At 46.7% G+C, this 23429-nt stretch overlaps 1 protein-coding gene across 4 annotated transcripts in view, besides 5 other annotated features; it reads left to right on the forward strand.

Moving 5' to 3' along the window:
- The window catches only part of GALNT2 (polypeptide N-acetylgalactosaminyltransferase 2), a 224334-nt gene that overhangs the window by 24780 nt on the left and 176125 nt on the right, over positions 1 to 23429 (forward strand). The window contains exon 2 of one of the 4 annotated variants that reach the window (NR_120373.2): positions 9021 to 9465. The exons of 2 other annotated variants lie outside the window; for them this stretch is intronic. The gene's annotated coding sequence lies outside the window, so the exon portion shown is untranslated. One more of the 4 variants, XM_017000964.3, reaches the window with a different exon arrangement.
- Positions 1695 to 2236: an enhancer, noted in NCBI's record as "H3K27ac-H3K4me1 hESC enhancer chr1:230220010-230220551 (GRCh37/hg19 assembly coordinates)". NCBI's record gives its function as "activates a minimal SCP1, AML or CMV promoter by ChIP-STARR-seq in naive H9 embryonic stem cells {active_cell/tissue: H9 hESC(naive)}" and the evidence as "EXISTENCE:reporter gene assay evidence [ECO:0000049][PMID:30033119]".
- Positions 21859 to 23058: an enhancer, noted in NCBI's record as "CDK7 strongly-dependent group 2 enhancer chr1:230240174-230241373 (GRCh37/hg19 assembly coordinates)". NCBI's record gives its function as "activates an origin of replication core promoter dependent on BRD2, BRD4, P300/CBP, MED14 and CDK7 cofactors, with strong dependence on CDK7, by STARR-seq in HCT116 cells {active_cell/tissue: HCT116}" and the evidence as "EXISTENCE:reporter gene assay evidence [ECO:0000049][PMID:35650434]".
- Positions 21859 to 23187: a biological region, named in NCBI's record as "CDK7 strongly-dependent group 2 enhancer GRCh37_chr1:230240174-230241373".
- Positions 22430 to 23151: an enhancer, noted in NCBI's record as "H3K27ac-H3K4me1 hESC enhancer chr1:230240745-230241466 (GRCh37/hg19 assembly coordinates)". NCBI's record gives its function as "activates a minimal SCP1, AML or CMV promoter by ChIP-STARR-seq in naive H9 embryonic stem cells {active_cell/tissue: H9 hESC(naive)}" and the evidence as "EXISTENCE:reporter gene assay evidence [ECO:0000049][PMID:30033119]".
- Positions 23118 to 23187: an enhancer, noted in NCBI's record as "active region_2710". NCBI's record gives its function as "activates an Ori minimal core promoter by ATAC-STARR-seq in GM12878 lymphoblastoid cells {active_cell/tissue: GM12878}" and the evidence as "EXISTENCE:reporter gene assay evidence [ECO:0000049][PMID:35858748]".

Raw genomic sequence — 23429 nt, forward strand, 5'->3', positions numbered from 1 at the left:
AGTACCTTTTATCACTTCTGTATCATTTATTTATTTCGGGAAGGGAGTGTAGTGGCTGCCAGGAGAGGGAGGCACACATATAAATTGTGGACAAAGCCTAGAAACCTAGGCATTGCCCCTGCTCATAGGAAGTCATATGCATGGAACATACGCACTGGAGTGCTAGTTAGACAGCTGGGATGATAGAGCAGGGGATCCAGGCTGATACATCAGGGGAACTTGCAGAGAGAATAGGGGATCCAGGATGATAGAGCAGGATAAGGACAGCTGTGGATGGAGCAGGACGACTGGATAATGGAGCATGGAGCCAGGATGATGGAACAAGCAGCCAGGATGATGGACAGGGAGCTGGGATGATGGAGCCGGGAGCTGGGATGATGGAGCAGAGCAGCTGGGATGATGGAGCAGGGCAGCTGGGATGAAACAGCAGGGAGCTGGAATGATAGAGCACGGCAGTTGGGATGATGGAGGAGGGAAGCTGGGATGATGGAGCAGGGAAGCCGGGATGATGGAGCAGGGAAGCCGGGATGATGGAGCAGGGAGCCAGGATGATGGAGCAGGGAGCCTAGATGATGGAGCTGGCAGCTGGGATGACAGAGTGGGGAGCAGGATGATGGAGCAGGGAGCCAGGATGATGGAGCGGGGGGGCCAGGATGATGGAGCGGGGAGCTGGGATGATGGAGCAGGCAGCCAGGATGATGGAGTGGGGAGCCCAGATGTTGGAGCAGGCAGCCAGGATGATGGAGTGGGGAGCGAGGATGATGGAGCAGGGGAGCCGGGATGAGGGAGCAGGCAGCTGGGATGACGGAGCAGGGAGTGGGATGATGGAGCAGGGAGCGGGATGATGGAGCGGGGAGCCAAGATGATGGAGCAGGGAGCTGGGATGTTGGAGCAGACAGTTGGGATGATGGAGCAGGGGGCTGGGATGATGGAGCTGGGGGGCCCAATGATGGAACAAGAAGCCAGACTGATAGAACAGAGGAAATGATCTGAGAAACAACTTTGAAAGGTCACCTGCAGCCCCCTGATGCTTGCATTATGTTAAAATGTTTGAAAATTTAGAATCCTCATTTTAAGGCATTGATCTTTCCTTCAGAAAGCTGTCCTTGCTGTTAAACGGTGTCCGGAGAGTAAGGAGATGGTCAGCACTGAGCATTTAGTTTCTTCAGAGGAATGACAGTGGGGGTTACTCTGTTTTTACTTGGAGTATCTGGATTGTTCAGGACCAAGTAAAACTCTGTAAGAAAGGGTTGGAAATCCTGGTGGGCCTCTGTTAGCCCTTCCAATAGAAGGGGGCCGGAGGGGGCCCACTGTCTGTGTCCTTGGACCTGCATGCAAGCTGAAGGAAATGGTGCCTGCTGCACATGGAGGAGCTGGAGCCGTGGACAGGCCTGAGCTCATCTCCATCAGCACCCGGATGTTGGCGTACATGCCTGTGAAGGTGAGGGTCTGCACTTCCAGCAGCCCTCCCCCTTTGTATGTCACTTTGGACACCCGAGATTTCCCTGATTTGCCTGGAGCCTCTGTGTAATTTTTAATTTGATCCCCTGCGTCCCAGTGGACTGTGAGTGTCTTGAGGCCAGCACAGGCTTGGCCCCTCCCACAGCAGGGAGACAGTGGGGAGCCAGGCTAACATGGGCCCAGGGATGTATATTCTGGAAGGAGGGCAGGCTGGGGGACGGTCACGCCAATATCAGAGTGTGAAGTGGGGCTCCATGAGAGGTGAGTCCTCATCAGGAAGGGCCGAGGAGGGGACCTGTGGGCGAGGCCTGTTGACCAGAATGATCCAGTGTGGCAGAAGGCTGTCTGGGCTTGGAGAAGATCCTGTGCAGAGATCCTGGGGCCAGAATGAACTTGGCATGTCTGGGCAACCAAAGGAGGAGGGCAAGCTGGTGAATGGGACGTGAGGTCAGAGAGACAGCCGGGGGATGGTGAGCATTTAGGATCTGATTTTGTCTGCCCTGGCACTTCCTGTGTCTGGCTCAGCACCGAGACGTTGCTAGGTGAGGGAGATGAGGCTGAGACTGGTGGGCTCGGGGGAGAATGGCTGAGAGCCAGGGTTGTGGAGGGTCTGCCACATGGGGGACCATGCCTCACAGGTTCAAGGCATCCCTGGCCCCTGGCTCCCTCCTACTCTCCTTCAGCTGTTTGCCTGCTGGGTGACTCAGCTATGGGCTACCAAGTCATTTTGCCCTTTTCTGCTGGGATCTGCGTGCTGAGTCTCTGACTGGTAACATGCTGTGGTTTGGCAGCATGCTTGGGAGTTGACATCATTTCTGGGTGCAAGTCTGGCTTTTTCTCCCTGGTGCAGGGTGAACATGGGATTAGGGGAGACAAGAATGTCTGCTTTTTCGTCCAGACATGCTGCCTTGCTCTTGCAGCTGAACAGACCCCAGCTGTATTTGTAAGTTAAGCCCTTAAATCCTGTGCCCTAAAGGTGGAGGTGCCATTTCATCTCCGAGAAGTGGAGAAAGATTGTGCAGTGATGCTGAGGTACAGGAGAGAGCTGATGAGGAATAGAATGATCAGTTGTTTGTAAGCAATCTCCTCTCTTCTGGCTCTCTTTAGCAAAAGTTTTTATTATTAACTCTCCTTTCACCACTGCGGATGGCAGACATACCTGACGGCAAAACTGAAGCATACCCTGACAGTGACCCTGTGGGGCAGACACACCTGAATGTGTGTTTGGAGTTTTGAGCTAAGGAATCCGGGAGTGGCCAACCTGGAGATTCATTCCTTGTTTATGAGGAACATCTGAGCCCCTATCCTGTCCCGTGGAACACTGGGCATACAGATGAGCGAGGCCCTTTGTTTTGGGTTAAATGAAGGTTGCCCCGTGGAGGCTGTTAGAGGATGCTAGGTGGAAACTCTATTTATAAACCACAGGCTTCAAGCAGTTGCAGTTTTCCTGCCCAGTCCACTGCCACTGGGCCATCCCTGTGTACAGGTTTCCCACTCGTAAGCCCCTGTGTCTCATTTGCTGGCTCTGGGTCTCCTTCAGCTTCTTGGACCTGGTGCCGTCCCTGTAGGAGTTCATTAGGGGTCTGGCATGATCCAGTTCATCACTGGAAAATGGTTCTGAATGTAGGCGGTAATGTTTGTGATTGTCTAGGTTGAAGTCCGGGGCAGTCTACCTGTTTAGGCAAGATGCAGGATTAGGCATCTGAGGTTCTCTTATTCATTGCATTTTGGATCTTCTGGAGCTCCTCCTGGCTGGTTATTTTAATGCTCTATACCTTAGCCAACCACTTACAGAACTGTTTTGATAGGCCACTGACTTCTGGTGTAGACGTTGGGGGTGAAGGATGTTTGACAGATGGGACGGAGATGGATTTATGTTTGTGAAATGTTGGGGAAACCCGAGGCAATACCTGGAGCCCAGAAGAGTGGGCTCACCGTATGTCCACAGCTCTATCAGTGCCCCTAAGGTGATTGGAAACTGCTTGCTGACCTGCCTGGTTAAGGAACGAACTCGGGTTCCACCAGAAACGTGCTGAGAGATTTCCGTCCACCTTCATGGAATTCACAGAACAAATGACAAGATTTTAATCCAGGTCTTGGTATTCCTAGGGTGCCAGAGGTGAAACTGAGAAAATTTTGCTCTCAATTATTTGGCGAGTTTGTAGGTAGAGAATAATACGAGCTCCTGGAGGGCTGGAATCTGGAGGCATTTCAGCAAGGGTTTAGAAAGGGTGGGTGATGGTGACTAGGGATACAGCACGTTGCTCAGCTCTGGGCTGAGAGGTGGTTAGTTCAGCCTGACGACCCAGCAGAGCACCTCCTGGTCATTCTGCCGGCCCTTTATCTGGTGAGGTAGGGCAAGGAGGGAGTTGGAGTGAGGAAAAATGCCTAAGTCAAGGGAATAGAGGGAGGGCAAGATAAGAGATGGCCCTTGTGCGAGAACTGTCTGCATTGCTCACTCTTTGGAGATTGATGCTTTCTCCATTTTACAGTTTTTAGGGGGATGTTCTTACTGGCAAAGGAGGAAAACAGCTGTAAAGTGAGCAGTTTTTTTTTCCCCCGTGTGTTAAGGGAATTTATTTTCCTTTTCATTCTTTGTTCCTCCTTGGCTCACCCCTGCTCAGGACATAACTTTTGCAGAAATGAGGATTTTGCTGCAGCCTGAATCTCCTGGGTTGGATCTCTTAGAGCAATTAATAACTTGTTATTCATGTGTTCGGGGCACAGCCCTTTGTACTCAGTGGTGCGTCCGTCATGCTGTTTGTGCTATTGGGGACCACTAAGAGTGCTCTAGAAAGTTGGTGTGGGCAGTGCTGAGCTTTGGAGTCATGGAGTGGCTCAGGTGTCAGCCCTGCCACTTACCTGTGTGCCCTTAGACAAGTACCTTTCTATGTCTCTGTTACTCCTCTACGAGATGGAGTTTATCACAGGGTTTACTGCATGAAGCTGTCACAAGGGTTCAACAAGATGTTGCCTGGTGAGCACTTAACCCACACCAGGCACGTAGGGAGAAAGAGCTCAGTAGAGTGTGTGTGGGAGGGGTCTTCTTCCATCCCAGGGAGGGAGGTATTTCACCTGGGAAGGTCCTGGCTGGGAGCTGTCTTCTACCCCTTCTTTATGCAGCGGGCTCTAAGCCAGCATCTGGCACCGCCCTTTCCAAACCAGTGCACACTCTCCCCATAGGGAAGGGGCCTGGCCTGCTGGGGCATGCTTAGTTTCTGTATTTTAAGAGCTCCCTCATCTGATGACCGGTACTAATTACCGAATTTCACAAATGAAATATGTGCAGGGTGAAGGAATATGCCTGTTGATTGCACTCGAATTACTGCAGTAAAATTAAATTTCAAGGACTGCAGGAGCCTAAGATCCTTCTGCTGTCCTCCACTTCCCCCATCTTAATTGGTTTTCCTTGCCATCTGTCTTTCTTGCCTTTACTCCCCCATAACTGCCAGCCCGCACTGTTAACCAGCGGTTTTCAATCTGGCTGTACGTTAGGAACACCTGGGGAAAACTTTGAGCTGTAGATGCCTATCACCCACCCTAGACTGATTCAGTCAGAATGTCTGGCTGTGGGGCCCAAGTGTGTTTTAGAAAAAGCTCCCCATGTGTGAATGACTCTCACGCAGTCAGGTCTGGGGACAGCTGGTTAGGAAGGCGTCGCTGAGAGTCTCCATCTTTTGGGAGTAACTGCTGATGGTCATGGAGCCCTTGAATATCTGTTTGGACTTTTTGAGGGCTCTGAGCTTGAGCTTGGTCTTCTCTTTTGGAATACTTGGGTGTTTGCTTTAATATTCAGAGTTAAATATTGATGGGCATATAATGAAATGCCTACTGGATTACTGGACGATGCTTTTAGCTATGAGTACTTACTCTGGAAGCTCTGAGAATAATAAAAACGATGAACAGCAGATATTAAGTGACAGTTTAGAACAGAAGAAAAATACAAGTTTTCTTACAGGCTCTTGGCTAAATGAATATGGGGGTGGACTGGGGTATTCAGTAGTTGAGCAATCCTGGATTCTATTTTTCCATATTTGCATCTCCCCCCGCCCCCAATGTTTTTGCTTTATTTAACAATTTTTGGGGTAAAAACCATGTAACATAAAGTTTACTGTCTTAACCATTTTTAAGTGTACAGTTTTGTAGTGTTAAGTGTAGTCCTGTTGTGAAACTTTGTCATCTTGCAGATCTGGAACTCTGTATCCATTAAACAGTAACTCCCATTCTCACCAGCCCCTGGCACCCACCATTCTGCTTTCTGCCTCTGTGCACTTGACACCTCTAGGTGCTTCATGTAAGTGGAATCTTGTAATATTTGTCCTTTTCTGATTGGCTTGTTTTCACTAGCATGATGTCTTCAAGATTCATCTCTGTTGTTCTGTGTGACAGGGTTTTTTTTTTAATTCATTTTTATTGAGGTGAAATTCATGTAACATAAAATTAGCCATTGTAAAGTATACAGTTCAGTGACATTTACTACAGTTGTACAGCTACCACTTCTGTCTAGTTTTTTTTTTTTTTTCTTTGAGACAGAGTCTTGCTCTGTCACCCAGGCTGGAGTGCAGTGGCGCTATCTCGGCTCAGTGCAAGCTCCGCTACCCAGGTTCACCCCATTCTCCTGCCTCAGCCTCCCAAGTGGCTGGGACTATAGGGGCCTGCCACCATGCCTGGCTAATTTTTCATAGTTTTAGTACAGACGGGGTTTCATTGTGTTGGCCAGGCTGGTCTTGATCTCCTGACCTCATGATCCACCTGCCTCAGCCTTCCAAAGTGCTGGGATTACAGGTGTGAGCCACCGCGCCCGGCCACTTCTGTCTAGTTTTAAAACATTTTCATCCAAATGGAAACCCTATGCCCATTAAGCAGTTGTTCCCCATTTCCTCATCTCCCCAGTCCCTGGCAACCACTAGTGTACTTTCTGCGTCTGTGGATTTATCCATTCTAGATATTTCGTATAAATTGACTCAAGCACTGTGTGTCCTTTAGTGTCTGAGTTCTTCCACTTGCCATAGTTTTTGAGGTTCATTCAGGTAGTGGCATGTATCAACTTTCCCCCCCGACAGTTTTTATTATGGTAAAATACATATAACAAAACTGACCATTTTAACCATTTCTTTCTTTCTTTTTTTTTTTTTTTGAGATGGAGTCGCTCTGTGGCCCAGGATGGAGTGCAATGGTGTGATCTCGCCTCACAGCAACCTCCGCCTCCCGGGTTCAAGCGATTCTTCTGCCTTAGCCTCCTGAGTAGCTGGGACTACAGGTGCACACCACCATGCCCGGCTGTTTTTTGCGTGTGTGTGTGTGTGTTTTTAGTGGAGATGGGGTTTCGCCATGTTGGCCAGGCTGGTCTTGACCTCAAGTGATGTGCCCACCTCGGCCTCCCAAAGTGCTGGGATTACAGGTGTGAGCCGCAGTGCCCATAACCATTTCTAAGTGAACAGTTCAGTGACATTGTGTTCACATTGTTACCACCATCCGTCTTTAGAACTCTTTTCATCTAGCAAAACTGATACTCTGTACCCAAAAAACAGTAACTCTCCATTCTCCCTCCCTGCAGCCACTGGCGGCCAGGGTTCTACCTTCTGTCTCTGTGAATTTGACTCTTCTAGGTAGCTCATGTAAGTGGAGTCATTCAGTATTTATCCTTTTGAATTGGCTTATTTCACTTAGCATAATACCTACAAGGTTTATCCATGTAGCATGTGACAGGATTTCCTTTCTTTTTAAAGCTGGGTAATAGTTCATTCTATGGACATACAACGTTGTGTTTATACATTACGCTGCTAACACGTGCAACACATTTGCTATTCATCCTACTGTGAACACAGGTGTGCACATTTCCCTTCGAGACCCTGCTTTTCATTCTTTTGGGAGTACACCTGGTGGAACTGCTGGATCATATGGGAGTTCTGTTTTTTAATATACTGAGGAACCTCCATACTGCTTTCCACAGTGACTACACCAATTTTACATTCCCACCAACTGTACACAAGGGTTCCAGTTTCTCCACATCCTCACCAATACTTGTTATTTTCTGTTGTTTGATAGTAGCCATCCTAATGGATATGAAGTGGTATCTTGTGATTTTGATTATCATCTTTTTTTTGGATGAGGGAAAGTTTGACCCCATATGTGGGTGTCTGTCACCAAGATAGAATGAATGTAATTTCCAAGGAAAAATAATCCCAGGCAACCTCTTCTGGATTATGTCCCAACTGATTGGAAATGCTGGGAACTTTCTGTGGTTGAAGGACCTTGACATTTGTTGTCAAACTGCCTGTGAGTCACTTATCTTCTGGGGGAAAATAAACATAACCGTGTCTTCCAGTCTGAAGTGGGGTGGGTGGGTGATATGAAGCATTGCACACAGCAGAGCCTGCTGCCCCTCCACAGCCTCTGCAAATGCCGTGTGAAGGTGGTGGACCTGCTACCAGAACTGGTGTCCTGCTGTCTCTGTAGTTAACTCTTAGGAGAAATAACGGTTGTGTGTGTGGAGGTGAAGAATGGGAAGGGAAGGAGGGGTGGGGAGGGCTGGTGCTTCTGAGGTTCCCAAAGTTCCTGGACTCGAATTTTCTGTTGGCAAATAAGCTGGTCAGAACTTAGGAATGTGGTAAGTTGATCCAGGAAGAAGTTGAAGGTTTCTATCTGTGTTTTTCTGTGCGGTTGTGTATGTGTAACACGTTTGCAGAAATAGTTGAAGCTTATTATTTTCTTCAAAAGATCTTATTTTCTAGTGTGTAAATCACAGGTAATTAAATATGAGTTAAAGTAAGAGAGAGACCCTTGGGCTATCTCAGACTTAGCTTTGAGAGAGAGAATGATCATGGGTCTAAGGCATCACTCTTGGTTTTATAGGTTTGGAAACTCAATGTTATTAGTTCCATCTAGGAGTTATCAATGGGGGATTGGGGTTTACATGCATCAGAATTGTAAGATACTGCTAAGAATGACAGTTCATTAATTGATGAGAACTGTGCCTCGCTGAGAAAGCCAGCACTCCTGGGGTGTGTGTACTCCGCAGACCTTTTCTTTTGTTTGTTTCTTTCTTTCTTTTTTTTTTTGAGACGGAATCTCTGTTGCCCAGGCTGGAGTACAGTGGCACGATCTCAGCTCACTGCAGCCTCCGCCTCCTGGGTTCAATCTATTCTCCTGCCTCAGCCTCCCAAGTAGCTGGGATTACAGGTGTGTGTCACCACATACTAATTTTTTGTATTTTTTTTTTTTTTAGTAGAGACAGGGTTTCACCGTGTTGGCCAGGATGGTCTTGATCTCCTGACCTTGTGATACGGCCACCTTGGCCTCCCAAAGTGCTGGGATTACAGGTGTGAGCCATTGTGCCCGGTCCTCAGCAAACCTTTTCTATCGGCCTATTTCTATCTATTTTCTATCGGCCACCTTTTCTATTGGCCTATTTCCATCTGTCTGAGGAATCTTGATGCATCGGCCTTCTCGTTCTGGGGATCTTTCTGTGTATAGAATCAATACCCTCTCCTTAGGGTAGTGATGGAGATTGATTTTTCAAAAATCCCAACATGTAATTTATGAAATTATTGTTTCAGCTCCAGACTCTGTGCTCTGTTCTGCAGTGTTGGAGCTAGGACCGCACATCCCAGCTGCTTTGCCAGTGGCTTCCGGGCCACCTCCATCAGCAGGAGGCGGTAGAAGCACCAGCAAGATGGGGCTTTGGTCCTTCCTGTTGGCTTCCTGTTGCCCCAGCTGTAGCTGTTGAATTCAGTCTTCAGTTATCCCAGCACTGGCCAGCCAGCCTCATCGTCCACACTCCCTGCAGATCCCACCACTCCTCCAAGGAAGTCTCTACCTCAGGGCCCTTTGGCTACGCTTCTAAGGTTAAGTCTAACCGGTTCCCTCAGGCCTAGGGGTGGTGGCTGCTTCCTGTCGTTGCTACTTCCCTGATATCTAGAATTTTCCTTTTTCTACCCAGTTACCTGGTTACTGACTTTCTACCCAGTTAACAATTTATATTAAAGCCCTTCTGTTCAAAAAGCTTATGTAGTTTCTGCGTTCTAATTGGATCCTGACTAATACATCTGACTTTCAACATTCTTTAGTAATCAGTCAGCAAAATGATTTCATGAGATAGACGTATTATATTTAATTGGATTACAGTTCACCTTATATTCCTTTAGTTTTTTTTTTTTTTTTTTTTGCACTGATCTTTCTGATTTTCGTTAGGCTCGTCTATGTAATTTGAGACATAACTCCTCTCATTAGCTACTTTCTAAATCATCAGACTTGAGTTCTTTCCTGGAAAGATCACCACAGATGGCTAATGTCATTCATTTTGTTGGCTCTTTTGGCTTTATAGTAGAGGGTGACAATTCTTTTGTTTTTGGTTTTTTTTTTTGAGCTGGGGTCTTGCATGACCTCACTGCAACCTCTGCCTCCCGGGTTCAAATGATTCTTCTGCCTCAGCCTCCTAAGTAGCTGGGATTACAGGCACGCGCCACCAAGCCTGGCTAGTTTTTGTATTTTTAGTAGAGATGGGGTTTCACCATGTTGGCCAGGCTGATCTCGAACTCCTGACCTCAGGTGATCTGCCTGCCTCGGCCTCCCAAAGTGCTGGGATTACAGGTGTGAGCCACCGCACCTGGCCAAGGGTGACATTTCTAAACCTTATCTCTAAATTCTGTGTCCATTATTCAGTATTCCTTTAACTTGTAGAGCATGGCTATTACGTGTTTAAGCAACATATATCTCTAAAAAGATTCGAGGCCGCTTATAAGAGAAAGTATATTATGTGTAAGCACAGATTCATTAAAATAAGAGTTTAAAAATCTGGGGTCAAATTTAGGGGGTAGAGGGGATGAGGGATAAAAAGGTGAAGGAAAAAAGAAGTGGATGGAGAATTAAAGAATGAAGGAGAATTAACACTGAACACCCACCCCCATGGAGCCGGATCCTGGCTAGGTGTTTGCCATCTGTGTTTAGTTTAATGCTCAGCATAATCCTGCGTGGCAGGTATGTTACCCCCATCTATAGGTCAAGAACCTGAAACCCAAAGTGCTGGCCGATTGTGCTCTAGTCCCCCTATACATTTCAGCTTACGTCTACTGACACTAAGCCAAGGGGAGCTCCTTCAGTTGAACGTGCAATTGTATCTTGGTAGCCAAAGCAAGAAAGGAAGCATGTTGGGTTGCATAGTTCTCATTTGATAATACAATGAAACATTTTCTTGAGAGAGAGAAACATTTTCTTAGCCTTCAAGCTTGATAAGAATCTAGTGGATATTAACTTAAAGGGCACTGAACATGATAATAGTGTCCGTCAGGGGGAGAAATAACAGAAACCAAAAGCAGAGATGCACACGTGGCCGTTTATTTAAATCAAACCTGAAGCAGAAGGAGGAGCATTAGATCACAGTTGTGTAAAGGCAATTCTAGGAGAAAACGATGGACTGTAGCTAGCTTTCTGCAGTCCTGACCTGGCCAAGGGTAAAACTAGATCGGCTGCGGGCTGTGTTCCCTGGGCTTCCTGCTGCTTCACTCCTGGGAGGCAGCACAGAGTGGTTGTTACGGGGAAGGTTTTCATAAGTGCTGTGAATCCACCCTGGGCCGTTTACTGGCCTTGCACATGTGGGCAAGGTACGGTCAAGCTCAGCATGATGACATTTTAGCCAATGACAGATCGAATACCCAATGGTGGTCTCATAAGATTATATACTGTATTTTTACTGTACCTCTGTGTTTAGATACACAAATACTATTATGTTATAGTTGCATACAGTATTCAGTACAGTAACAAGCAGTCCAGGTTTGCAGCCTAGGTGTGTAGTAGGCTATACCACCTCGTTTTGTGTAAGTGCATGCTATCATGTTGCCACAATAATGAAATCACCTAAGGGCACATTTCTCAGAAGGTATCCCTGTCATTAAGCAACACATGACAGTACTTAATCTCTCTAAGCCTTAGCTTCATCCCTTCTTAAATGAGGGTAATAATACTGTTTCGTCCACCTGTGTGTGTGTGTTTGAGATAGGGTCTCGCTCTGTTGCCCAGGCTGGAATGCAGTGGCACAAACATCACTGCAACCTCGATCTCCTGGGCTCAAGCAATCCTCCTGCCTCAGCATCCTGAGTAGCTAAGAATACAGGTGTGTGCCACCATGCTGGCTAATTTTTTTTTTTTTTTTTTTTTTTTTTTGGTAGAGATTGGGTTTTGCTATGTTGCTCAGGGTGGTGTCAAACTCCTGGCTTCAAGTGATCCTCCCACCTTGGCCTCTTAAAATGCTGGGATTACAGGCATGAGCCACCATGCCTGGCCTTATTTTTATATATTTAAGAACATATGCTTTCGGCCGGGGTGGCAGCTCATGCCTGTAATCCCAGCACTTTGGGAGGTCGAGGCGGGTGGGAGGCGGGTGGATTACCTGAGCTCAGGAGTTTGAGACCAGCCTGGCCAACATAGTGAAACCCCCCTCTCTACTAAAAATACAAAAAAATTAGCCAGGCGTGGTAGCAGGCACCTGTAATCCCAGCTACTTGGGAGGCTGAGGCAGGAGAATCACTTGAACCCGGGAGGCGGAGGTTGCAGTGAGCTGAGACTGCATCACTGCACTCCAGCCTGGGCAACAAGAATGAAACTCCGTCTCAAACAAAAACAAAAACACCATATGCTTTCCCAACACATCTGGACAGCTGATATTAAAAAAGGGTGTATGTAGTAGAATTAAAACTATTACAAGAGAAACAGAGCCAGACAGTTTGGGGAAGGGAGAAAACAGAGAGGTTGTGGGGGCACTTACCTTGAATCTTCTTAGGTCCCTTGTGTGTTGTTTTGCCTAATCCTTCCCACACGTCTGCAAAGAGGATGATCTCCCCACGTAGAGACAGGAAGCGGATTCCGATACCTCGCCTTCCCTGTGTTAGATGTGCCGTAGCTCCTACTGAGGGTGAGGATTAATTGGAGATGATGCAAGTGGACCTCTAAGCACGGGCCGCGATGATGTCGTAGTTCACGGTCACAGGACTGTCACTGCTGTTACAAACTGGCCCTTCTGCTCCGAGTCTGCTGGTCCTCATACGGTTCCTTTCTGTCTCTGGTTGTGTTGGTTAAGACAGAGTAGCTGCAATCAGGGAGAGTGTCGACCCTGACCCCAACAAGCAGGGAGAGCTAGTGCAGAATGTGGGCAGTGGCAGCAGACCCGCGGGGCTGTGACACTGTCCTTTCTGTGGCTTGGGTGGACTTCAGGGTGACCCATCTAGCAGAGTAAAAATAGTAACCCCACATGCTGACCATGTACCCCCTGCTTTCACGCACTTTTATGGGTGAATTCACCTATCCGTTATAGAAACTCCATGAGGCGTTTTTATTATCCCCATTTTACAGATGAAGCTGTCAGGGAGAGAGGTTGAGTTGCCGGCAGTCTCACATGTAGAAGTGGTGAAGTGGGAATTCAGACCCACCCCTGCGGGCTCCTCAGCCAGGCCTGCTCTTAGCATCCCAGTGTGCTGCTCTGTGACGAGCCCCAGTATTGGGATCCACTCTCCAGATGAGGTTTGAAGAGTTCCGAAGTGGAACGTCTTTCTGGGTTGGCTGGCTGTAGAGGGGTTGGTGACTCCAGTGTCCTGTGGTGGTAGACAGTCTCCAGCCAAGGGCATGTACTTCTCACCTCCCTGCCTCGTGAATCTGGTCAGTCTGGTGTCAAACTTGAACCAGTAGACTGCTGTGGATGTGACACTGGGCGTGGTGCAGGCTCTGTCCTTGAGGGGCCTGGTAGCCCCACCTGGGTCCCCTGGGGCCCAACTGCCATGCTAGAAGACGTCCAGGCTGCTCTGCTGGAGAAAGAAACCGTGTGGGGTTGCCTGGAGGGTGAGACATGTTGGAGGGGAGGGAGGGAGAGGCCAAGGCCTCAGACAGGTGAGAGAGCCCCAGCCGCGAGGCACCTGTGGTCTCACCATGGGACATAAGAACTTGTTTAAGCCATGACGTTTTGGGAGGGCTTTTGTGCAGGAATGGCACCCGGAACTCCTGCTTCCCATGAACCCAGGGCTGTGGGCCTGGCTGCTGGGAGTGAGCCATTTGCTGGGCCAGGGATTTGCCCTGCTGCAGGGACTTTTCTAACCCAGCCGGGCCAGGCTCACCTGGGGGCCCTTTTGATTTTGAGAGGACGCATACCTCAGCCTGCATTTTGGTGTCCTCTTGCTAGCACCTGCCAGCTGAGGTTGAGCCATGGTGGACAATTTTTCCTTTTAAGACGATTCTAGTTACTGAACCAAAGATATTAATTATGTGCTTATCTGTGGTAATTACAACTAAAGCATTCTTTATCACTGCAGCTTAGTCATTTGCTTACGTGATTTAAATGTGATATATGTTAATATGCATATCTCGTCAAAGGGAGTCATGGGGGTGGCATGGTTAGAGCATGCTGGCTGAGGGCAGGAGGCCAGAGGTGTCTGCGTCTCCCTCGTCCATCTCGTTCTCCCCTCCCGCCTTCCTTCCCCTTTCCCCTCTCTCCCTTCTTTCTGTCCCACCAGGATTTCTTTAAGGTTTGTGTTTCATCACCATCATCCTGTTTGAAAGTTTTTTTTTGTTGTTAATCCATCAGTCTTTCTCAATTCATAATTAATTTCTTCCAACCTCCCTCCCTGCTCCCATCCTTGGCAGCCTGGGGGCAGCAGGTTGGGAACTACCACCAATGTTGCACCTTCTTAATATTCTTTTATGTATCTCTTCTCAAAGATAGAATTAGTTTGGTCTGAATTATACATACAATCATAGAATCAAAGTGACTTGAAACTTAGAAGGTGCATTTTCTTTTAGGGTTTAATTCACTCAGAGGTCCTCCAACCCAGCCTCTCATTCAGTAAAGACTTCCCTTCAGCAACAGATGGTAAATAGATTCTGCAGAATGAGTAATTCCTTCATTTCTGTCTGAATGGTTTGTTTAGAAGCAAACACAATGATTCCCTCTCCTTATTAAATTTGTTGGGAGAACATCAGGATCATACTAAGTTACTGTCCAAAGCTACAACTGTGAAGAGGGGGTGCACGGTGACAAAAAAGAGAAATGTCGCTTGACATTTCAGAATTCAGGCCCAGTATCATCGGTGCCCTCATAACATTACACGCCAAACCCTTTAATAAAACTGTCAATCCAGATTGTTAAAACACTGAGCGGTTTGCTCAGGAGATAGAATATTTATCATACTGAGGTTCCCAGTTTTTAATGAGCCAAATATATTTCCTTATTTTTTTCATGATCTTTAATTTATCAACTTAACCATTTTTAAGTGTACAGGTAAGTGGTATTAAGTACATTCATATTATTGTGCAGCCATGTCCACCGTACATCCACGGAGCTCTTTCAACTTGCAGAACTGAGACTCTGTGCCCATTAAACACAACTCCCACTCCCCACTCTCCCAGCTCCTGGCAACCACCATTCTACTTTCTGTCTCCGAATCTGACTACTCTAGATACTTCTATTAGTGGAATCATACAGTATTTGTCCTTTTGTGACTGGCTCATTTCACTTAACATAATGTCCTCAAGATTCATCCCTGTTAGAGCGTGTGTCGGAATTGCCTTTTGAAGGCTGAGTAATATTCCATTTTGGAGGCTGAGTAATATGTACATGTGCACATTTTGTATATCCATTTATCTGTCAGCTGACTTTTGGGTTGTTTCCGCTTTCTGGATATCATGACTAGTAATGCTGTTCCTCACATTTTAACATTCAAATGACACATCATAATTTCATTTATTCTTGATATCTCAGGAAAATTTTAAATACCGTTTAATAGTGGAGAATTATGGTAACACGCACCAAATGTACATTATATTTTTAATTGCTTGGCAATTTGGGACAACTTACAAATTCTGTCTTTAGGTTTGGTCGCTATACAACAGATAATGCTGCTATTTCTGCTTTAGTTTCAGGGATCAAAATGAGTTAATACGTATGAATGTCCTTTGTAAAGAGAGAATGTAAATGTTTGTCGATAGAACCAGAATACATTCTGAACTTTCTTGCTTGTATTCTGGGTAGGTAGACATTTAAAGTAGAGATTTGGCATAACTTAGTTCTTCCAGAAACTTCAAGCACTTTACACTCACTCTTTTTAGCCCAGGTTTGAATTATGTGGGGTCATTCATGGGGTTTATGAGGTTTGAAGACATACTTAAATAACATGTGGGTTCTCTAGAATGAATGTGGAAGGAAACATTGTACTCCTGTGGAATGCTGGCACCCTAACAGGAGTGACTTTCTCTTTTCTCTCTCTTTTCTCCTTTTGGTCAACTCTGTTTGTATGTAGTGTGAGCTCTATACTGTGGGATAGCATTCTTTTTAGAATGCATGCATGTGAATTGTGTAGTGCAGAGATTTGCTATATCCATTTCCAGAATGTACATATTGAACACTGTTTTGCGAAAGGCAGGTCTATGCAAACTACCCCAAAGTCCGAGGAAGCTGAGAGGCTGAAGGAAGAGCCTGACAAATCCCGTTTCTTAGAAAGAAACATTTAATAGAGACCTACAAGCAGAAGCCGCATCTGTGTCTAGGGCAGCGGTAAGACGAGATGGGGGAGCCCCACGCCATTACCCCCCAGACCCAGGGCTTCTATGCCATAGCGGGGAGGGAGGAGTGGTTCCAAAGGGATACGTAGGACAATTGAAGTAAGATAACATCAAGGTTGTTTGATCTGAGGGCAGGATTTACTGTAAGCACCTGCTCTTACACAGGAATAGTAGATAAATGGGAAGTCTTAGAGGCCTTCTTGGATAGGGGGTTAATCAGAAGCCAACGTGGCAGATTAGCATCCAAGATGGAGTTGCTTTAGCCTCCACAAGCACTGACTGTATGCCAGGAGTTGACCATGATGTGTTATGAGGCACTGGGGAATTCATTCCTATATGAATCTGGGTGATTGACAAGAAATTCTAGTGGAAGTGACATGTAGGTTGAGCTGTGCATTGAGCGGGCTGGTCACGTGCCCCCCTTTAGATGTTCCCGATCGCGCGGAATCACGACATGAGAGGATGAGATCAGAGTTCTGTCAGCTTCATGTAGCCAAGGACTTTCAAGTTCTTCCTTGAGGAGTTGGCCCTCCCTAGTCTCCTCTGTTACACCAGTCATTGCTACGTTAGCAGCTTTGCAAAGTAGGTATCACGCTCCATGTGCTCTGTGCCTGCTGTTGGCCTGAAGCATTGTCATGGCCTTGCCCAGGTTTGCTTTCCTTAAGGGCACCATTTGGTCCCTTTTGTCAAACCCATTTGCTTACACAGGCTGCTGCACTATTTCTATGATTGCAATTCCAGAGTTTCCGAGTCCCGGGATGGGGGTGTCTGATGTTAGTAGCATGCCATGGTCAGATGTCTTGGGGAATCTGGGGGTAAGCATAGTTGAATACACTCTCTGCTGCAAGTTTCTCAAAAATGTGAATACACCAATGGTGTTTCATGAATCCACCAAGACCATACAGCACTATAGCTTTGCCTGGAGAGTTTTCTCTCCTCAGCAAAGCTCTCCACCTGTCCCAAGCTGTGATTCCCAAGAAATGCCAGCTGGGAAGCCTGGTTTGAGGGTAGCATATGCTCCATTGCCATGGCCAAGTCAGTACAAGCCTTTTAGCAATGGTGCGTTCCCTCAGAAGGTTTGCTGTGGCCCATTTAGCCATATTTTGGCTTTGGTTCCTGGAAGGGAGGTGTCTGCCTTCTTCCTAGTGGTGTGCTGCCCACCAGGCATGCCCAGTGGCTCATCTGTCTCTGCAGATAGCTTGGCTGAACCCAAAAGGGCTCAGTCCTTCCTGTGGGCTTGATGCCTGTAGGAAGGGCCAGTCTTGTCCCCATGTCTGCAGTGTGCCACAGCCTCCTTTCCAATTTGTTTCCATTATAGGATTATGAGACCTCCTGACTCTAAGGAACTGTTTTATCTGGGGCTTGGTGTTGCGGGCACAGCACCTGTGAATAGTTAATGACATTTTTTATTCCCAACCAAGACCTAGGCTCCTTTAGGGCAAGGGCCAGTGTTGATCTGAGGATATATTCCCAGCTTCTCACACAGTCTGTGGTGCAGACTAGGAGTTCCATAGATCGTTGAATGAATGGTTTAAAAAATGAAGGGATCAAGTCCTGGAAGTGGTTTTAATTTGCTGTGACTCCAGGTAGCTTGCTTAAACACTCTATGTTTTCTAAATTTTAAAATAGAGCTAATATTTCTCAAATGGCTCCATAGGACATTGGTGACACTCAGTTCTGCACCAGCTCTTTGCCTGGTAATGTGCAGGATGGGGGATGCCCAGGGTATCTTTTTATTCCTTTTTTTTTTTTTTTTTTTTTTTTTTGAGATGGAGTCTCGCTCTGTTGCCCAGGCTCCCAGGCTGGAGTGCAATGGCGCGACCTCGGCTCACTGCAAACTCCGCCTCCGGGTTCAAGTGATTCTCCTGCCTCAGCTTCCCGAGTAGCTGGGATTACAGGCACCTGCCACCACACCCGGCTAATTTTTGTATTTTTAGTAGAGACAGGGTTTCACCATGCTAGTCAGGCTGGTCTCGAACTCGCCACCTCAGGCGATCTGCCCGCCTCGGCCTCCCAAAGTGCTGGGATTACAGGCGTGAGCCACAGCACCCGGCGTTTTTATTCTTAAAATAATCCTGTGAGGCGTATGTAGTGTTCACCTGATTTTGTAAATGTGTAGGCACAGGGAACCGAATAACTTGCTCAAGATCACAAAGGCTTTAAGTTTGAGAAGTGCAGTGAAAATGCGGGGCTGCTTCACTCCAAAGTCGATGTGTGTATATGTACATATAAGTGTATATGCATGTGTACATGTACATATAAACAAAAGTACACATTTAGGAAGTGTATGGGAAATATACATGTACACATGCGTATACAGTCATAAGGACGTTTCAGTTAACAGTAGACTGCATATATCACAGTGGTCCCGTAAGATTATAATCTTGTATTTTTACTGTATCTTTTCTATTTTAGATAACAAATACCATTGTGTTACCTACAGTATTCAGGACAGTCACATGCTATACAGGTTTGTAGCCTAGAAGCAGTAGGCTGTACCATCTAGCCTAGGTGTGGAGAAGGCTGTACCATTTAGTTTTGTGTAAGTACACTCTGATCACACGAGCAAGAAATAGCATAATGATGCATTTCTTAGACCAGATCTCCATTGTTAAGTGATGCATGACTGGATATACACATACACATATGTGTATGCCTGTATAGATGCGTGTATTCTACATACTCCTAAATGTGTCATATGGCAAGGGTGCCTCATTGTAATTCTGGCTTTTTCCATAAATGTTAAACAAGCATCTTCTCCCACCGCCAGTCCTTTTCTTCCTTCAAGGGGACAGGGCCTCTGGAGCTTATGCCCAGCTCCTGTCGGATGCCCCCGTGTTCTGGTCACTCGTGTGCCCGTCTCTTCACACTCAGTTTTCCCACCCCTGAGCACCTCAGGTGCCAAGGTGTGTTTGTTGAACTGAAATTCTTAAGCCTGCTGAGTACATTCTCAGTTTGTCAAGACAGATAAACAAATACCTTTTTTAGATGATTTAAAAGATTCTTGACACAGTCCCAGTGGTGTTTTAACAACTTTTCAGGTCCTGATCAGCCAAACTCTGGGCCAAAAGTAAATGTTTAATAAACAACATAAGAGTGATGGAGGAAAAATGTATCTTAAGTGGAACTGTGTGTTCTGTAAATCTATGACAGATTACTGTTCCTGCTTTTGTTGTGTATAATTATTCTTGTTCCTCCTGAGAATTGCCCTCTCTTTCATCATGAAACGTATAAGATGGCCTCCTCCTCTGGTAATTTGGAGCAATTGGCCTGGGAGAGGATTGATGTGTAGTAAGGACAGTCCGTAGGAGAGATTTAGTGGGGGCAGTTTCCTTATCTTCTATTCTGTCCCTTTGCCAGACAGAAGCACAAAAAGTAGTTGGACTGAAAATGCTGCTTCCTAAAATTAGCTCTCCTCTTTGTTTTCCGAATGGTTTTACTGGTTGATGCGGGCACAATTTGCCCTTCTTGGGGAGCCTTCTGCATTGTGTAAAGTGCAAAGACACATCTATCAGAGAAGCTAATTTTAGGTGCTAGTAAGTTTTAAGGGCATGCAAAGCTCAAAACTTTGCCTGTTCTCTTGGAAGAAGATTTTTCCCTCCTGAAAAACAAGCTTCCTTTCAAAGTCAGAAAAGGGGAGCTTAGACGAAGCCCCAGGAGGGCAGGTATGTCTTGTTCACTGCAGTCTCCAGTGCCTTGCGAGGGCCCGGCATGCTGAGCGCTCAGTAACCCTTGGCCTAATGTACAGTTTTTCATTCTGTGAATCAGGAATAGAGCAACATAAGGGGAGCTTCTGCTTGAGACAGCAATGGCAGCATCAAAATAAACGTGGCAATTTTGGTCTTCAAGAGTGAAGTTGTGTCTCTGAAATTGTAAGCCCAAATGGATCATTTCCTTTTTTAGGTTTTAGAATTCCAGGTTTATTTTCTGGAAGAGCTTGCAGCAGATGGGCTTCTGTAGGGGAACGTTTATACCTTGGGGGTTCCGTTTCGAGAGTCCTTGATTTATTATTGTTTACAAATGGTGGTTGGAAATTGTTCATTGATTTGACATAAAGCTGCCCAGGCTTATTGTAAAAACACCTCTGCATCCAATTAGAATGACAGACACTTAGTGTGATGACTCAGGACAGTTGATGGCCTTAAAAAAAAAGCGAACAGATTAAATCACTCTCTGTTTTTTCATAGCCATTGATGGAAACAGATTCTGTGGGGTAAATAACAGAGTCTTGGGTGGTGGAAAGGTTGAAGATGTCCAGTAGTTGTGGCAGGGCAAGGATGGAGGACTTTTTCTTTGCAGGGGCAGTGGAGAGGCGGGGCCATGGGTGAAGACTGGAGAATACTCAGAAGGTAGCATGGACGAGAGTGTTGTTTGATGACTCTGCATGTGACCAGTAGTGACATTTTACTCACTGAGGCTCATATTGAGGTTAAGCCCGAGGTCCATTGGCCTTGCTGAGATCGTGTTTAGAACACAGCACTGTGCAGTAAGAGACTCCTATAACTCTATCAAATTTGCATTTGGAGGAATTGTAAAGAGCCTCTGTTACCTCCTAGGTGAGGCAGTCCAGGAAAACAGTTGCTAGAAGGAGCTATCTGCAGAAATAGACAGTTGTGGTCCTTTCATGTTTTAATAATTGTTCCCTGGATTTCAAGGAGTCAGTCCAAAATCCCCGTAATAGATTTTAGTAACGTTCATGGAATCTCAGTTTGCACATCATGAGACCTTTAGTGTGGTGTTTACTGTCTTCACCTTAATATACTTTGTATCCATGAGCAACCTTGCTACAGTCATGCAAAGATGATTATTTTTTATTCAGCAATAATTAGCCACAGTGTTGAGCACCCAGATGCCTTCCTGCAGCAGCCCCCCTTTTCTCCCCAGCCAACATCTGCAACTGTGAACAGATTTCCATCTTCAGCCTTGGTGGTTGGAAAGAAATGTAAGTCACCTTTTTTTCTGGTTGGTTCTGGGGCAGATGCCACCAGGCTGCAGAGGCAGTCTGTGTCTGTGGGGCTCACCAGGGCATGAGTTCTGCTCCCAGGAAAGAGATTCTTGCAGGATTTTGTCTGTGGTTCTAAGGAGACAAGTAGGTGGCACACAAAAACAGAAAATGAAAGAACCCATCCCTCCAAAACCACACACACAAAGCCAAAAGGAAAAAAAAAAAGCACATAATTATCATGTAGGCACTGTTGCAGCTAACCCTGATTTTGGCCTCAATTCTGAAACAAGTTAGCTGGTTTAGACAAACCCCTTATTAGGTAATGGATTGTTATTCATTCCTCCCCTTCTCCTAGTCATTTACTCCGTGAGAGCTGCTCCTACCTGACCTTCCACTGATTTTGGTAGCAGCATCTCCCAGAGCGACTGTTTCCTTCTTCAGCAGTGTTCCTTACTCAGGGTGTAAGATCTTAACCCCACAGAGCCCCGTATCAGGTTTAATTAACTAATTGATTCAGCTTGTGCTTACTGAGTGCGAGGCAGTCATGTGCTTCTGTTTGGTAAATGGCTTCATTTTCCCTCTAACTCCTGAGCGTCCTGAAGCTTCTCTTATGGTTCTCTCCAAAGGAGTCAGCAGGCTGGCTCTGCAAGGGTCAGTAGGTTCTGGGGTGGTGGGGGGCCGAGGGAGGCAGGGAGGTTGGCTCTGTCTTTATTTGGCATAGAGCTCCCCGAACAGGGTCTCTCCTCCTTTCTCCAAAGGTTAATGGAACCACTATCTTAAAAAGCTGAAATCTTATCTTCTGGGGTATTTGGGTAGAGAAGGCTAGGGAATCCCTTTTCCATGGTGGTGCAGTAGGTTCTCAGAACCAGCTGGTGGGCCTCAAAGAGAGGCGGCTGTATTTTAGCCTGATAATCTTGATTCCTGGTTTCCTGGCTCTGTAGCATCAGAAATGGGAAGCTTTAAAAGCCGTGCCTTGTTGGATGCACCGAGTCATAAAATAAATGTGATGTGCTGGGTGGGGGAAATGCGGGAGGAGGGAAACAGGTGGTTGGAGCTGCTTCGTGATGGCCGCCCACCCTGGCTCTCCTTTCTTAATAGGCTTCAGAAATCCTGGAATGCGTAATTCACCAGCTCACAGAGTTCCACCCATGTCCCCAGTGGCTTCAAAATGTAAATGACATTTGCAGTGCTGGGAGGTAGGAGGGCGATCCCGTTCCTTCCCTGGATCTCAGTCGCAGAGGTGCTGGCTCATGTGCCTGAGTGCAGCGGCTGGCCCGTCATTACTGGTCTTTGCAGGAAGCCACTCTGAAGGCACCTGGGCCCTTGCCAGGCTGAGTCACAGCTGACTTAGGGAAATGCCACACAGGACGCTTGCAGTCCCCCCGTTCTAAGCGTAGGTTTTGCAACTGCATACTCGGAAAATGAATCAGAGTGGGGGAAAGTGTCAGAGAAACAGCAGAAATGGAATGTAGGCAGGAGGGCCACAGTGGCGCTGTGGATTCAGACCACACCTTCGGCTCTGTTTGGGGCCCTTCCTGTAAGGAGCGTACTGATGCCAGAGGCTGGGGGTGTGGAAGGGAAGCTGCTGTGCTGTTAGATCCATTCTGCTATTTAGCCAGCCTTCCTTTTCCCAGCTGGCACAGACAGGATGTGTTAGAGAGGTGCTCAGACCTCCTTTCAGAGCAACTGAATCATTCTCCAGGAGGGACAGGGAGTCTGAAATGCAAACAGGTTCCCAGGGTTATTGAAGAGCAGCCAAACTGAACACCCACTGCTCTGTGGACTCAAGCTGGTTTTAGACATTGTTTGGTCAGGACCAGAGCCGAGCTCTGGGGCCCACTGGGGGCTCTTGTCGCACCATATCATTGATTCTACAATGCACATTTCCCCCGCCTCTCATGTTTTAACATGTCTGAAATCAGGATGCATCTTCCATGGATGGTGTTTCAGGGTTTCATTGATCGTGTTTTTCTTCCTGAGTGGCACACAAAATTAATGGTGCTCCCTAGAGTTGATGGTCCCTGCGGTTCAGTGAACCGTGTTGCTCTTGTGTAAGCTCCTGTGGGAACATAGAGTCTCTGTGTCCCACCTTCTTCCTCGCAGTGGTCAGCACGGATGAGGTGGGAGTTGCATAAATGTCAGCATTCGAAAGTGAGGGCGTCTGTCGGTGCTGTCTCACTGTGGGGCTTCAGAGAACGTGAGCACCTGTGTTTGCATTCTCCATCAAGGTTCATGTCCTGTTGGCTCATAAGCATGATTATATCCATTATACAAACTGGGGCACAGGCACCCAGAGAGAAGTCAAAAGACTTGTTCAAGATGGACAACTAGGAAGTGGTGGGGACAGACCAGTCCTGTCTGATGCCAGATCCAGCGCTGTATCTGCCAGTCAGCATGCACACTTTCATCTCTCCAGCCTCTTCCCACTCACCTTTACTCAACATTTCTGGGCCTCCATAGTGATTGTAGTAATTCGGTAAAG

Source organism: Homo sapiens, chromosome 1 (genome assembly GCF_000001405.40).
Source record: "Homo sapiens chromosome 1, GRCh38.p14 Primary Assembly".
Taxonomy (NCBI): Eukaryota; Metazoa; Chordata; class Mammalia; order Primates; family Hominidae; genus Homo; species Homo sapiens.